Source organism: Homo sapiens, chromosome 17 (assembly GCF_000001405.40).
Source record: "Homo sapiens chromosome 17, GRCh38.p14 Primary Assembly".
Classification (NCBI taxonomy): Eukaryota; Metazoa; Chordata; class Mammalia; order Primates; family Hominidae; genus Homo; species Homo sapiens.
The window spans coordinates 40,697,902-40,713,986 of record NC_000017.11 but is presented as its reverse complement, the minus strand read 5'-3'; the positions used below and the strand labels follow the sequence as shown (position 1 = coordinate 40,713,986).

The 16,085-nt window shown below is 41.3% G+C and overlaps 1 protein-coding gene across 1 annotated transcript; it reads left to right on the top strand.

The window, feature by feature from the left end:
* KRT24 (keratin 24) lies at nt 10,235–15,996 on the top strand. Its single transcript, NM_019016.3, has 8 exons — nt 10,235–10,908; nt 12,054–12,136; nt 12,691–12,847; nt 13,604–13,765; nt 13,864–13,989; nt 14,326–14,543; nt 15,337–15,449; nt 15,647–15,996. The coding sequence occupies exons 1-8, from the start codon at nt 10,294–10,296 to the stop codon at nt 15,748–15,750; spliced, it is 1,578 nt and encodes a 525-aa protein (NP_061889.2). The 5' UTR covers nt 10,235–10,293; the 3' UTR covers nt 15,751–15,996.

The following is a 16,085-nucleotide window of genomic DNA, read 5'->3' as shown; positions in this document are numbered from 1 at the left end:
AGGAATTTATTCTTACATAATCAATTATTAATATATGTATACTCCTCTCAGCTGTTCATCATAGTGAAACGTAAGCTATAATAAAATATTCAACAATGGAGAATCAATAGGCTAAGTTATGAAACACCCATCAAAGTCCATCAAAGGATGGTCACACAGCCATTAAGAATGCTCAGGTTCATTTATTAACCTAAAAAGATGTCAATCGTCTATTGAGAAATGAAAAGCAGAGTTTTAAGACAATATGTATAGTATGATCTGCTTTTATAAGAATGTAATTACATGTATATTAACACTGTATGTGTTAGTCTGTTCTCACACTGCTGTAAAGAAATATCTGAGACTGACTAATTTATAAAGAAAAGAGGTTTAACTGGCTTACGGTTCTGCAGGCTGTGCAGGAAGCATCGCGGCTTCTGCTTCTGGAGAATCCTCAGAAAACTTACAATCATGGCAGAAGGTGAAGGGGAAGCCGGTATGTCTCCCATAACCAGAATGGGAGGGAGAAGGGGCAGGGAGGTGCCACACACCTTTAAACAACCACATTTCACAAGAACTCACTATCACAATAACAGCACCTGGAGGAGGGATGGTGTTAAACTGTGAGAAACCGCCCCCTACACAATGATCCAATCACCTCCTACCAGGCCCCACCTCCAGCATCAGGGATTACATTTCACCATGAGATTTGGGTAGGGACACAGGCCCAAACTGTATCACTGTACTTACTTGTTTTGTTTTTTTTTTTTAAAAAAAAAGAAGCAAAACCAATATACATCCAAATGTTAACAGTGACTATTTTGGGATAGTGAAATTATGAGTGATCTTTATTTCCTGCTGCATGTTTACATGCATTTTCTCATTTTTCTGAAGTAAACGTGTAGAACTTGTAAAATTTAAAAGTCTTTAAAGAAAAGCCATCTGTATGTTTAAATTTTTTTAAATGAATACTCTTTGTTTTGTTTTGTTTTGTTTTGTTTTGTTTTGTTTTGTCTTGTTTGAGATGGTGTCTCGCTCTGTCACTCAGGCCTGAGTGCAGAGGCAAAATCTCAGCTGACTGCAATCTCCACCTCCCCAGTTCAAGCAATTCTCCTGCCTCAGCCTCCCGAATAGCTGGGACTACAGGCATGTAACACCACACCAGTCTAATTTTTTGTATTTTTAGTAGAGACGGGGTTTCACCATGTTAGCCAGGATGGTCTCGATCTCCTGACCTCATTGATCCACCCACCTTGGCCTCCCAAAGTGCTGGGATTACAGGCATGAGCCACTACGCCCGACCTCTCCTTTTTTATTGTCAAAGAAAAATACAAGAAGGACCAAGTGATAAGTAATGTGGTAGAAACCGTAAGAATAATAAGAAAAATTATGTGGGGAAAAGGAGAAGCTGGTAAATGAAGGGTTGGAGTGTTCCAGAAGAGTGTTCCAGAAGAGATAGCCCTTGAAAAGTGGTAAAATTTGGATACATAGAAAGAACAGAATAAGGTGTGATTTGAGGCTTTGCTCCAAGATCAGTCACATCAAAAGTACTTCTAGAAACACCCAGTGACCTCCAATGAATGGGTCACAAGTTAGTACCTAAAGATCATCCATTAGTCCTCTTTAGAAATATGTGCTTGTGTCCACTCTACACACAGAAAGATAATGGTAGGTCCTGGCCTTGCTGTTGAATGCCACTGTGGGAAGGACAGGGCTTACCTGGCACCCTTCAATCAAGGTTTCCTGGGCACCTGGTTTCTCTGTCTCCCTCCTGGTTACAGGCACAAAAAAGACAAGCACAATTGCTTGCTGGGACCTTCTCCTCACTCCACCTAGTCAGCCTCCACATCACAACAGAGTCCTGTTCCTTTCTCCCTTTCTGGAAGGATCTGGCTTCATAGCCAGTATTCCTACTGGCTCTTCTCCACGTTCTGGTAACAGTATGGATGGCCCCTGTGTCCAAATCCCACAGCCTCTTATGCCCAGCTCAAATCTGCAGACTCTGATCAGCTCTGCCCACCCACGGTCACAGCTTTGCCATGGCTTCTCCAGGGCCCTCTCCTCCTAGGGTAAGCCCTGTGCCCCTTTCTCTCCCAGCATGCCCCAGGGCCACTGCAGGTAGGCTGAGCACCCCAGTCTGTCCCTGTCACTGTCCCTGGGGTGAGTCTTGCCAGGACTGGTCTGATGAGCACAGAGATCACCCACTGGGCAATAATAATTTGGCTAACTACCAGAAAGGTCTCCAAGAGTGCTGCCATTGCCTTATATGTGGTATTCTCTTATAATTATTTTAATCTGTTCTATACCCAGTTATGTCTCTTTCCCACTTCCAACCTTGTGTGTTGGACCTCTCTCTCTTTTCCTAATCAGGCTCATGAAGAGGTTGTCTATTTAATTGATCTCTAAAAGAATCAGCTTTTCGACATATTTATGTATTTTTTTCTTTTCTGTTTAAATAATTTCAGCCTTTATTTTTACTAATTTATTTTTATATTTTTTAGTTTATCTTGCTGTTCTTTAAAAGAAATTTTTATACTAAATGTCTTCATCTTTGGTCTTTCTTTTTTAACAAAGCAGCCATTAGAGGCTATAAATTTTCTTCACTGTTCAAAGTTAGCTACATCCCAAAAGTCCAGGTATGAAGTGCTTTTCTTTTAACTTTTTTTTTTTTTTTTTTTAGAGACAGGGTCTTGCTCTGTCACCCAGAGTGGAGTGCAGTGGCACAATCGTAGCTCACTGCAAGCCTCAAATTCGTAGGTTCAAGTGATCCTCCTGCCTTGGCCTCCCAAAGGACTGGGATTACAGGCGTAAGCCACCATGCCTGGACTTTTTCACTACTTTCTGGTTTGTCATATTTGATCCAACAGTTATGAAAGGCTTCTTTTTTTCCTATGATACCCAAGCGGGTATCCTAACATTCAAATCAATTCTGACACTAACTATCTGGAATTAGTGTTAGACTCCGCAAGTTGAAAGGCTCCTCCTCATAAGACTGCCCTCACCGCAGATGCTAGTCACAAGTATCAGGTCCCCAGGTGATGTGGTTTGGATCTCTGTCCCCACCAAATCTCATGTTGAAATGTAATCCCCAATGTTGGAAGTGGGGCCTGGTGGGAGGTGATTGAATCATGGGGGCCACTTCTCATGGTTTAACACCATCCCCGCCTTGGTACTGTCGTTGTGATAGTGAGTGAGTTCTTGTGAGATTTGGTTGTTTAAAAGTGTGTGGAACCTCCCCCATCTCTCTCTTGCTCCTGCTCCGGCCACGTAAGACATGTCTGCTTCTCCTTTGCCTTCTGCCATCATTGTAAGTTTCCTGAGGCCTCCCCAGAAGCAAAGCAGATGCCAGTATCATGCTTCCTGTACACCCTGCAGAACTGTGAGCCCATTTCTTTATAAATTACCCAGTTTCAGGTATTTATTCATTTATAGCAGTGCAAGAACAGACTTGTACACCAGGTTACCCATACTTCTGATTCGCTACAAAGTTTGGGGTTTCCACAATCTTCCCCACTTAAGTTTTGATAATTTCTAGAATGACTCACGGGACTCAGGAAAACACTTTGCCTACTATTACCAGTTTATTATAAAGGATCAACTCAAGAACAGTTAAACAGAAAGGATAAATAGGGCAGGATATAGGGAAACAGGCACAGAACTTCCATGCCCTCTCTGGACATACCATACTCCCAGCACCTCCACATGTTCATCAACCCAGAAGCTTTCTGAGCCCCATTATTTAAGGTAGCAGTCCCCAACCTTTTTGGCACCAGGCTCTGGTTTTGTGGAAAACAATTTTTCCATAGACCAGGTGGGTGGAGTGGTTTCGGGACAATTCAAGCACATTACGTTTATTGCGTACTTTATTTCTATTATTATTACATTGTAGTATATAATGAAATAATTATACAACTCACCATAACATAGAATCAGTGGGAGCCCTGGGCTTGTTTTCCTGAAACTAGGCAGTCCCATCTGGGGGTGATTGGAGACTGACATATCATCAGGCATTAGATTCTCATAAGGAGCCCACAACCTAGATCCCTCGCATGCACGGTTCACAACAGGGTTCATGCTCCTATGAGAATCTAATGCCACTGCTGATCTGACAGGAGGTGGAGCTCAGGCGGTAATGCTCGTGCAGCCTCCACTCACCTCTGGCTGTGTGGCCCAGTTCCTTCATACAATTCCCAGGGATTGGGGACCCCTGACTTAAGGGTTATGTAGGTTTCATGACATAGACATGAGTCTGGCCATTTGTGATTAACTCAATACCCAGCCCCTCTCCCCTCCCCAAAGGTTAGGAGACGTGGCTGAAAGTTCTAAGCTTCTAATCAAGGCTTGGTCCTCTGGAGACCAGTCCTTATCCTGAAGCTATTGAGAGGCCCCTAGCCGCAAGCCATCTCATCAGTATTCAAAAGACACTCTCATCATTAATATATATTTCCCTTTATACCACAGTTATCTAAGAGAATGTATCAACTCACAGAGATTTTTCTGGTTGTCTTTCTTATTGTTTAGTTCTAATTGTAACTCTGATCAAGAACATTGTCTTGAAAGAATCTCTAGGCAAGTATTCTTTTCCTCAGTTGGGTGCCTTTATAAGAGCTTACCTTGGAGTAGACACGTAGAGGCCAGTTAAGGGGACCTCTAAGCACAATTTCCACTCTACCCAGTTCTCAAGCACAAGCAGTGAACTTTTGCAGCTAATGCTCTAGTAAAGAAAATCCCTCCTGGCTGGGTGCAGTGGTCACGCCTGTAATCCCAGCACTTTGGGAGGCCAAGGTAGGTGGATCACCTGAAGTCGGGAGTTCGAGACCAGCCTGACCAACATGGAGAAACCCCGCGTCTACTAAAAATACAAAATTAGCTGGGCATGGTGGTGCTTGCCTGTAGTCCCAGCCACTCAGGAGGCTGAGACAGGAGAATGGCATGAACCCAGGAGGCAGATGTTGCATGAGCCGAGATTGCGCCATTGCACTCCAGCCTGGGCAACAAGAGCGAAACTGTGTCTCAAAAAAAAAAAAAAAAAAGAAAAGAAAAAAAGAAAATCTCACCTAATAGTAATATAAAACACTTTCTAAATCTGAGAAGTAATACATTTAATTACCAGATTGCTAAAAATTAGAGCTGGAAGGGAACCTGAGAAGTGGATAGACCAATATAATAATTTTACAGATGAGGACATGGTGGCTTGGTCAAGAGACATCGACTGTACTCAAATGTTGTGTTATAGTTCTGGTGGACAGAGGACAAGAGACTTGAGACTGATGAAGCTTTCTTCTGAGCCTATCATATAAAATATGATCTTGTGTAAAATACCATGCCATTCTTTTGCTATGAAACTACTATTTAAGCCCTGGATTCCTTGACCAAAGATTTGCAGCTTCTCTGACATCAGAGGGCAGCAGGAGGTTGAGGGGTCAAGCTGGAAGAGACAGAGCAGGAAGGCCCAGTGTATCAACTTAGCATTGGCAAGAGGCACAGGGGCTAGGCCCTACTGCTCAAGTTATGATCTGGATTGTTCATGCTTTTGGATTCTCTGAAGAGAAGACTACTGTCTGTCTGGTATGAAGAAAGGCACAAAAGGACTTTTTAAGCAGAGCTAATCCTTGAAAACTGTGCTTATTTCAAACTGTCTTATCTGTGGAGCCTGGAGGACAAAGCATCCCAACCCCCGCAAAGTCACTCACCCATTCTCTTAATTCTCCATAAACTCACGGAAAGATCTTCAGGAAACATAGAGAATTGAGTTATTTAAAGAGATTTGAAAGCACTCACATACAAGAACAAAGCCAGGTGATTTTTCTTCCCAGAACAAAATTTGGCAAAATGGCATGACCAAGCAGATGCTTCCTGGTGGAGAAGAGGAAGCCTTCAAATAGACACACTTAAGTGAAACCAGGAAGAGAAAGAATGGACGAGGGTGGTGGGGAAGGAGAGAAAGTGATGAAGGAAGAGAAACAGCCACAGAATTGGTGGATTTCTGGGGTGTGACAATGACACACCCAATCCATCGACGGGTGGTGCCAGATCTACTGGAGTGGGCTCTTAGTCATGTTATTATTGCAAAACCTTTTTTCTCTTCCAAGTAGTTGACCCTGGCGGGGCCTAGAGCAGCCACCAGCAGGAAGCTGGCCCAAACAATGATTCCCTACAGGAAGGTCCCCGGTTGACTCTTGCCTGACCTTTCTGCCCTCTTCCCAAACAACATTTCCTCTTACTGCCAAGCCCCGCTCTCCGCCACCACACACTGAGAATCACTAACCCAGAAGTGGAGCATAAAGATTCAGAAAACAAAACACAACACATAGTAAAGAACAAAAGTAATCAGTGATCCAAGTTGTTCATGAAGAAAATCAGGCCATGTTAGTTTTTATTAATTCAAGGAATATTTATTGTCTATCTACTATCTGTCATTGCAACGGCATTGCAAAGAGACTGTTCACACATCAAATTTATACTTTCCAATGTGTCCAAAAGAAAGAAAATTGCTATATTAAAGAGATGTCTGTGCTCCCATGTTTATTACAGCACTACTGACAAGATTTAGAAGCAACCTAAGCATCCATCAACAGTAGAATGGATAAAGAAAAAGTGGCACAGGTCAGGCGCGGTGGCTCATGCCTGTAATCCCAGCACTTTGGGAAGCCAAGGAGGGCGGATCACGAGGTCAGGAGTTCAAGATCAGCCTGGCCAACATGGTGAAACCCTGTCTCTACTGAAAATATGAAAATTAGCTGGTCATGGTGGTGGGTGCCTGTAATCCCAGCTACTCGGGAGGCTGAGGCAGGAGAATCGCTTGAACACAGGAGGTGGAGGTTGCAGTGAGCCGAGATCGCGCCATTGCACTCAAGTCTGGGTGACGAGAGTGAAACCTGTCTTAAAAAAAAAAAAAAGTGGCACATATACACAACGGAGTACTATTCAGTCATGAAAAGAATGAGATCTTGTCATTTGCAACAACGTGGATGAAACTGGAGGTCATTATGTTAAGTGAAATACGCCAAGCACAAAAAGACAAACTTTGTGTATTCTCACTTACTTGTGGGAGCTAAAAATTCAAACAATTGAACTCATGAAGATAGAGAGTAGAATGATGGTTATCAGAGGCTGGGAAGGGAAACGGGGGAGTAGGGGAAAAGTGAGGACGCTTGATGGGTACCAAAAATAGTTAGAAAAATGAATAAGACCTAGTGTTTCATAGTATAACAGAGTGACTATAGTCAATAATAATTTACTTGTATAATTTATAATAACTAAAAAATAGTATAATTGGAATGTTTGTAACACAAAGGATAAGTGCTGGAGGTGATGGGTACCCCATTTACCCTGATGGGATATGTACACCTATATCAAAATATCTTATGTACCCCATAAATCTATATACCTACTATGCACCCACAAAAGTTAAAAGTTAAAATTTTTTTAAATGTATATTTTCCCTTCTTTTTTACTGTCTGCCACAGAAAGTTTTGTCAACATTCAACAAATACTCTAAACCCAGCAACTTCCCTTAACTACTCTGATGTGATGCTTCTATTTGAAAAACACAAAACAGTATATTTTCTTGAATGAACAGAAGATAGAATACCCAAGTTCTGTTCTCAATTCTGTAAAGATTCATCAGGAGCCATATGCCATGCATTTCAGTATTTGGTTTTCCTACTAGTCTAAAAACCTGCAATATGTTAATCTGAAAAATATTTAAATACTAATAATCTATCCCCCACACACACAAAAAAAAATTGATGGTTACTATCTGCAAATCATTCTGCACTTATTATTAAAATCATATTCTATAAGGAAATATAGCTTTTATATGTTTCTTTACAGGTAGAAATAAACTTCTAATCACAAACTATTCAAAATTTGAACTGGGAGCCCAGACACCTAAGATTCAGTCTGTCTCTCTCTCTCTGTCTTTTTTTTTTTTTTTTTTTTGAGATGGAGTCTCGCACTGTCGCCCAGGCTGGAGTGCAGTGGCACAATCTCTGCTCACTGTAAGCTCCACCCACCGGGTTCAAGCAATTCTCCTGCTTCAGCCTCCGAAGGAGCTGGGATTTAAACGTGCTTTCAGCCAAATGCAAGTCTTTATGAAAATTGAAAGATTACATTTCATAGTTTTAAAAGGGAGAAACACTCTGTGACTGTTCCTCCCATTGCCAGCATTTGCATACCATTTAATCATTAGGGTTTAGTTTTCTTTGGTTTCACAGCTTTAGGGATGGGCGAGGCAGGATGACCAACACATTATGTGTGGTGCATTTTTTAGCTACTTTAGAAGGGCGTTATAAAAATTACTCCCAGCTTAACAATTTAAAATTTTGTACACCATGTACCCCTTGGAGATATGTCACCCTAAATATGAAGAAGAGTAACATCATACTCCTGTGAAAACAGTACAGGTAGATCATAAAAGCCACATAAGAGCTACATAGTAAAGTGAATGATTACCTATTTAATCATGTGTCCCAATAAAATGCAATTTAAGGAAAAATTTAAAGCAGAACATTGTTTAACAAATAATTGAATATAAAGATTAAGGTGTGAACATAGTTTAACAGAGACTGGCAAAAGAAGGAAGAAATTCTTAAATAAACAAAAGTCAGCTACTTAAGTTTAAAGCTAAGGAGGATACAAACTATTTCTGGAAGCACCTGTTTTTTAAGACTTTTTAAAAATTGTGGTAAAATACATATAACATAAACTTATCATCTTCATCATTTATAAGTTTACAGTTCAGTAGTCTTAAGTGTACTGACATTGTTGTGCAACCAATCTCCCAAACTCTTTTCTTTTTTTTTTTTTTAGACGAGTCTCACTCTGTCTCTGAGGCTGGAGTCCAGTGGCACAATCTTGGCTCACTGCAACCTCTGCCTCCCGGGTTCAAGCAATTCTCTGCCTCAGCCTCCCAAGTAGCTAGGATTTCAGGCGCCTGCCACCATGCCTGGCTAATTTTTTGTATTTTTAGTAGAGACGGGATTTCACCATCTTGGCCAGGCTGGTCTCGAACTCCTGACCTCAGGTGATCCACCTGCCTCGGCCTCCCAAAGAGCTGGGATTACAGGTGTGAGCCACCACGCCTGGCCCCAAACTCTTTTCATATTGCAAAATTAAAATTCTATGCCCAGTAAGCAACAACTGTCTATCCCCAACCCTTCGGCCACTGGCAACTACCATTCTACTTTCTGTCTCTGTGAATTTGACTACTCTAGGCACCTCATAGTACTGGAATTATACAGTATCTGTCTTTCAAAAAGACACTATTAAACCGGTGAAGTGACTAGAAGACATGAATGGAAACAGTCTAAAATACAAAGGGACAAAAAGCCATGAAGCACAAAGGGAGCTCAGGAGGGTTCAGAATCTATAAAATAACTCCAATTGTAACACTAGTTATCAGAAGTAGATACAAATCCTCTTTTATCTTTAAAACGAAGGCAGGAGATATCTGCATCATCTCTTCATTTCTTGAAATTTGACTCAAAAAGGAAGTTGCTGTCTTTATATCAGACTAGAATTCAACCAGAAAGAAAATCGTATTAAAACAATCTGCCTAAAAGCTTTTCAATCTTTCTTAGACATTAGCTACTTGAATAAACATGTTGCTGAGATGTAATAATACTTACCTAGAAAACTATTATTTATGTTTTTCTTATGAACTATAAAACATAATTGTTACAAATTATATGCTTTTTTGTATATTATACAAAATACAAAAAAAGAAAGCAATAACTTAAAATCACAAACTTCAACAACCTTAAAAAACACGCTGATTGAAATAATCAAAGAGATGGATGCTTAATCAAATCTGAAATTATTGCTGATGTGAAAGCTAATTTCAACTTTTGAGAACAATATGAACAAAAAAGTTACATGATTGATGGGAAATTTTTATTCTCATCATATTAAGTATTTTAATTACATTTGTTAACCTGGAGATATTCTCTGCAAATGTGAAATCATGAAGCAAATTTAATAGAACTACACTTCCAGAGAAAAGTTACCAATCATCAAAACCTCTGAAAGATTAAAACTGTAATTCTGAAAATTTTTTTGTTTTGCTCCACTTTATTCTTTTTTTATTGATATAGTAAATGTCCCAGGGCTCTGACCTAGCTTCAGAGAAGTGTTCAAGAAACAGAAATTATCCAATTACGGATTACCAAAACTGTAACAGGGATTAAGAAGTGACAGAGAAAAGGAACACCCTCGAAGTGTGTATATAAAGGCCAAAAAGGCAGCCTTGAATACACTCTTCGTCATCACCTCTCCTATTCGCCTGGACAAGCTCATGTTTGCAGGAGCACCATGTCTTGCTCGTCTCGCGCCTCCTCCTCCAGGGCTGGAGGCAGCAGCTCAGCCAGGGTGTCTGCTGGTGGAAGCAGCTTCAGCAGTGGAAGCAGATGTGGTCTGGGGGGCAGCTCGGCCCAGGGCTTCCGAGGAGGAGCCAGCAGCTGCAGCCTGAGTGGGGGGTCTAGCGGTGCTTTTGGGGGCAGCTTTGGAGGGGGCTTTGGTAGCTGCTCAGTAGGGGGTGGTTTTGGGGGAGCTTCAGGCTCTGGGACAGGATTTGGTGGGGGTTCTAGCTTTGGCGGGGTCTCTGGATTTGGCAGGGGTTCTGGATTCTGTGGGAGTTCTAGATTCAGCAGTGGTGCTACTGGAGGCTTCTACAGCTATGGTGGTGGTATGGGAGGTGGTGTTGGCGATGGGGGGCTTTTCTCTGGAGGGGAAAAGCAAACCATGCAGAACCTCAATGACCGCTTGGCCAATTACCTAGACAAGGTCAGAGCCCTGGAGGAGGCTAACACTGATCTGGAGAACAAAATCAAGGAGTGGTATGACAAATATGGGCCTGGGTCTGGAGACGGTGGATCGGGAAGAGATTATAGCAAATACTATTCAATAATTGAAGATCTCAGAAACCAGGTGAGACTATCTGTGCCTGAGTTTCTATTATTTGTGGATCTTTCACTTCTTTTCAGATCATGTACTATAATGAAAATTTTAAGAAATTATTTGAAAACATATTTGCTTGTTACATATGCAAAGTGGGACCTGATGTGTCTTAATTATTATAGTACCTTATGTGATGTCCAATCACATTAATTTTCTGTTTCCATCTCAGTTTCAGTATTTCTACATAACAGTAAAACTTATACAACACCAGGCAGCTAATTATCATTTATATATAAGAATGGTGGCAGTGAGTCAACATTAGTTTAATCTAATTATTTATGATGAATTCTGACAGACTGACACATTTTATTGTCTTACAAGATTTAAATATTCTTTAGTATTATTTTTCTTCCCAGAAAATCTGGTGCAAACATTACATAAGAATGTAGTAGAATCTAAAATGTTTAGCCACTTTTGTATGGGAAATATATTTTTAAAGACTTTTTTGGAAGTGAAATACAATTTTTGCACTATTTTCTGAAAAAGCTCATGAGATAATGATCTAACAAAGTAGCAGAAATATGCAGAGGACTATGTCCTGTAAAACAGGTTCCTGTGCCTAGTCCAATAAATGTGCAGACTGTTATCTTTTTGCAGAAAGATGTAGTCCTAAATATACCAGCCCCAGATATACAGGTCTGGGGCTGTATACTTAGTCATTACTAAGTAAGTTTGCAAAGCAAGTCACCTTTAAAAGCTAATAGCACAGGCCGGGCACGGTGGCTCACACCTGTAATCCCAGCACTTTAGGAGGCTGAGGCGGGCAAATCACTTGAGGTCAGGAATTTGAGATTAGCCTGGCCAACATGGTGAAACCCCGTGTCTACTAAAAACACACACACAAAAAAAATTAGCCGGGCATAGTGGCACGCCCCTGTAATCCCAGCTACTCAGGAGGCTGAGGCTCAAGAATCGCTTAAACATGGGAGGCGGAGGTTGCAGTGAGCTGAGATCTTGCCACTGCACTCCAGCCTGGGCGACAGAGCGAGACTCTGTCTCTACACACACACAAAAAAAAGAGCTAATAACACAGGCAACAGCTACCCTTACAAGTAGGCATGCAGACACAAGGTAAAAATCATTCGTGATTCACTCACTATTAACATCTTTTTTAGATCATTGCTGCCACTGTTGAAAATGCTGGGATCATTTTGCACATTGACAATGCCAGATTGGCTGCTGATGACTTCAGACTGAAGTAAGAAACATAAAGACTTGAAAACAAGTGTTACGGGAGAAAAATAAATTTTATTCCATTTTATAAATAAATATATATATATATATATATATATATATATATATATATATATATATATATATATATACTAGAGGATCATGACCTAAATTTACAAACATCCCAAGGGTAAACTTTAGACCATTAGACAAATCTCCACTGATGCTGGGGCAGGTAGATCCTCTCTGCTGAGCACCTAAGCCAGTAGCTACACACCGGCCGCTTCTGCTCCTTTCATCAGCCTACAACAGCTGCAAAAGAAAAAAGAAAAAGAAAAAAGAAAGAGGCAAATTTAGAATGAGAATTTTATTATTAAAAATGTTAGACATGATTAGAATTAACATTACATTGGTATTTTTCTTTACAAGGGAAAATTTCCCAAGAGAAAACTTAATAACCTTTATTTATTAAAATGCCCACAAGTGAGAACTTTTTCAATATGTAAGAATGGAAGGTACCCTTTGAAACACGGCCAGGTGAGCTCACAGTATTTTTTGCCTTACTGCTGCCCCTTCCAGGTATGAGAACGAGCTGTGTCTCCGGCAGAGCGTGGAGGCTGACATCAATGGCCTGCGGAAAGTCCTGGATGACCTGACTATGACCCGCTCTGACCTGGAGATGCAGATTGAGAGTTTCACCGAGGAGCTAGCCTACCTGAGGAAGAACCACGAGGAGGTAGGAACATGTTCTACATAAACGAATAACTCTAGCTAACATATTTCTCCCCATATGCATTCTATACAAATAAAATTGGCTGGGTGCAGTGGCTCATGCCTTTAGTCTCAGCTACTCTGGAGGCCGAGGCAGGGGGATCCCTTGAACCCAGGAGTTGGAGGCCACAGTGAGCTATGATCATGCCACTGGATTCCAGCCTGAGCAACAGAGAGATACTGTGTCTCTAAAAAAGTAAAATAGGCCTGGCACGGTGGCTTATGCCTGTAATCTCAGCACTCTGGGAGGCCAAGGCAGGCAGATCATGAGATCAGGATTTCGAGACCAGCCTGACCAACATGGTGAAACCCCCTCTCTACTAAAAATACAAAAATAAACAGGGCATGATGGCGCACACCTGTTGCACCTGTAATCCCAGCTACTCAGGAGGCTGAGGCAGGAGAATCACTTGAACTGGGGAGGCGGAGTTTGCAGTGAGCCGAGATCAAGCCACTGCACTCCAGCCTGGGTGACAGAGTGAGACTCCATCTCAAAAAGAAAAAAAAAGAAAAAAAGGTAAAATAAACTCATTTTTATCTAAGTGAATTTCCCACATACTATGACCAGGAAACAAAAGTAATCATGAGTAAATTATACCTAGATTTGATTTTTTTTTTTTCCTTTCAGTGTCCTACTTTCAAATTGTTGTTGTCTAGGCACATTTTCGGAAGTCATCACTTTTCTGTTTGCATCACGATAGTCTTTTTTCCTTCATGCTAGGAAATGAAGAATATGCAAGGAAGCTCTGGAGGGGAGGTGACCGTAGAAATGAATGCTGCGCCAGGGACCGACCTGACCAAATTACTGAATGACATGAGGGCGCAGTACGAGGAGCTGGCTGAGCAAAACCGCCGAGAGGCTGAGGAGCGGTTCAACAAGCAGGTAGATCCTCTCTGCTGAGCACCTAAGCCAGTAGCCACACACAAGCCGCTTCTGCTCCTTTCATCAGCCTACAACAGCTGCATTATGTTTGTATTTAGAGCGCATCACTACAAGCACAAATCTCCACTGATGCTGGGGCAGCCACTTCTGCCAAGAATGAGATAACAGAACTAAAACGTACCCTGCAAGCCCTGGAAATTGAGCTTCAGTCCCAACTGGCCATGGTATGTGCAAATAGCTTTTCACATTTTCCAACAGGGAGTTAAGCAAATGCAGTTTTCTTTCTTTGCCAAGAGGTTCACTAGGCACATAAAAAAGGCAGTGTTAAGGAGAACTGCATTATGATTATAGAAAGCATTAAAAGTTAAAGATAATGTACTCTATTTTGCATAAAAGATTTAGTTTAAAAAGAAGTGCCAACCAAAATTAAAGAAGCAATGATATAACAATATAGGTTATATGGCGAAGGTGCACTTCTAGTGCCACATAAAATTGCATTTTTAAAAAATCATCCAATGATTTATTTTCATCATGAATTTTTTATTTGCTTTTTCTCTTAGAAAAGCTCCCTGGAGGGAACCCTGGCTGACACAGAAGCTGGCTACGTGGCTCAGCTGTCAGAAATTCAAACGCAGATCAGTGCCCTGGAGGAGGAGATCTGCCAGATCTGGGGTGAGACTAAATGCCAGAACGCAGAGTACAAGCAATTGCTGGACATCAAGACACGCCTGGAGGTGGAGATCGAGACCTACCGCCGCCTGCTCGATGGAGAGGGAGGGTAAACCAAAGTCATGAACAAACTAAAATGCATACCTTAGTGAATTTATTTTATAAAACCAAAATGGGACTCAGGGCTTAGACTTGTATATATAGAGAGTAATAAAGTAACAGACACAGGCTGCGTGCAGTGGCTCAGGCCTGTAATCCCAGCACTTTGGGAGGCTGAGGTGGGAGAATCACGTGAGCCCAGGAGTTCAAGACCAGCTTGAGCAACATAGCAAAACCCCTTCCTCTTCAAAAAATAATTTTTAAAAAATTAGCTGGAGGCTGGGCACAGTGGCTCATGCCTGTAATCCCGGCACTTTGGGAGGCCAAGGCAGGCAGATCACGTGAGGTCAGGAGTTCGAGACCAGCCTGGCCAACATGGTGAAATCCTGTCTCTACTAAAAATACAAAAATTAGCCAGGCGTGGTGGCACACACCTGTAGTCCCAGCTACTCAGGGGACTGAGGCGGGAAGATCACTTGAGCTCAGGAGGCTGAGGCTGCAGTGAGCTGTAATCATGCCACTATACTCCAGCCTGGGTGATAGAACGAGACCTTGTCTCAAAAAAAAAAAAAAAAAAATTAGCTGGGCATGGTGGTGCACACCTATAATCCCAGATACTGGGGAGGCTGAGACAGGAGGATCACTTGAGCCCAGGAGTGCAAGGTTGAACAAAAAAGCAGCAGACACAATCCAATTAAAACACATAAACACATCCAAAACTTCATCATGAAGAATCCCCGGGGCGGAGGCTTTCTCCTGCCTTTGCAAACTGCAAAGGAAAACATAATTCTTTTTTTCTCCAGTGGTTCTAGTTTTGCAGAATTTGGTGGTAGAAACTCAGGATCTGTAAACATGGGATCCAGGGATCTGGTATCTGGTGACTCAAGATCTGGAAGCTGTTCTGGTCAAGGACGAGGTAGACTTTTTTTAATATTGATAATAGTTCTGTAATTTAAAAGTGAAGACATACTTTGCTTGTCATACTAAAAGAGTCCGCTATTTTTTACATAATCTTACCCAGACAGAACACGTTGAATGCATGTGATTGAATTTCTCTTGCTCTGTGTTTCTGTGAGAGTTTCCAGACTGACATTGCAATCCCATGATTTTCAGATTCAAGCAAGACTAGAGTGACTAAGACTATCGTAGAGGAGTTGGTGGATGGCAAGGTTGTCTCGTCTCAAGTCAGCAGTATTTCTGAGGTGAAAGTTAAATAAGGAACTTCCAGATCAACAAAAGTGTCTTTCAAAGAAAAAAAAATCAAGAAGGACACAAGCGAAGAAATGGCATCAATCTAGGCATCTTTCTGGATAATTTCAGGAAAAGCTTCAGTCCAGAAATGGATGACTAGCCAACTTTTCTGCATCTTCTTATTTCCTCATTAGAATGCTCTTGAAATAGCTGAATTAACAACTTTGCTTTAATTGTTTCTATGCTTCAATAAATTTACTTTTGCAAGTTAATTATTACTTATTTTTTTAAAAAGTATTTTACCTAGGAAGGAAGCTATCAAGTATGATCTAGCTGCATGACTATATTACTAATGTCAGTT

What these genes read in the sequence shown, in the direction of transcription:
- KRT24 (NM_019016.3), top strand. Translation starts at nt 10,294, where the DNA reads ATGTCTTGCTCGTCTCGCGCCTCCTCCTCCAGGGCTGGAGGCAGCAGC. An exon ending in TTCAGTCCCAACTGGCCATG is followed by an intron (nt 13,990 to 14,325) that starts GTATGTGCAAAT and finishes TTTTTCTCTTAG; the next exon opens with AAAAGCTCCCTGGAGGGAAC. An exon ending in CTGTTCTGGTCAAGGACGAG is followed by an intron (nt 15,450 to 15,646) that starts GTAGACTTTTTT and finishes CATGATTTTCAG; the next exon opens with ATTCAAGCAAGACTAGAGTG.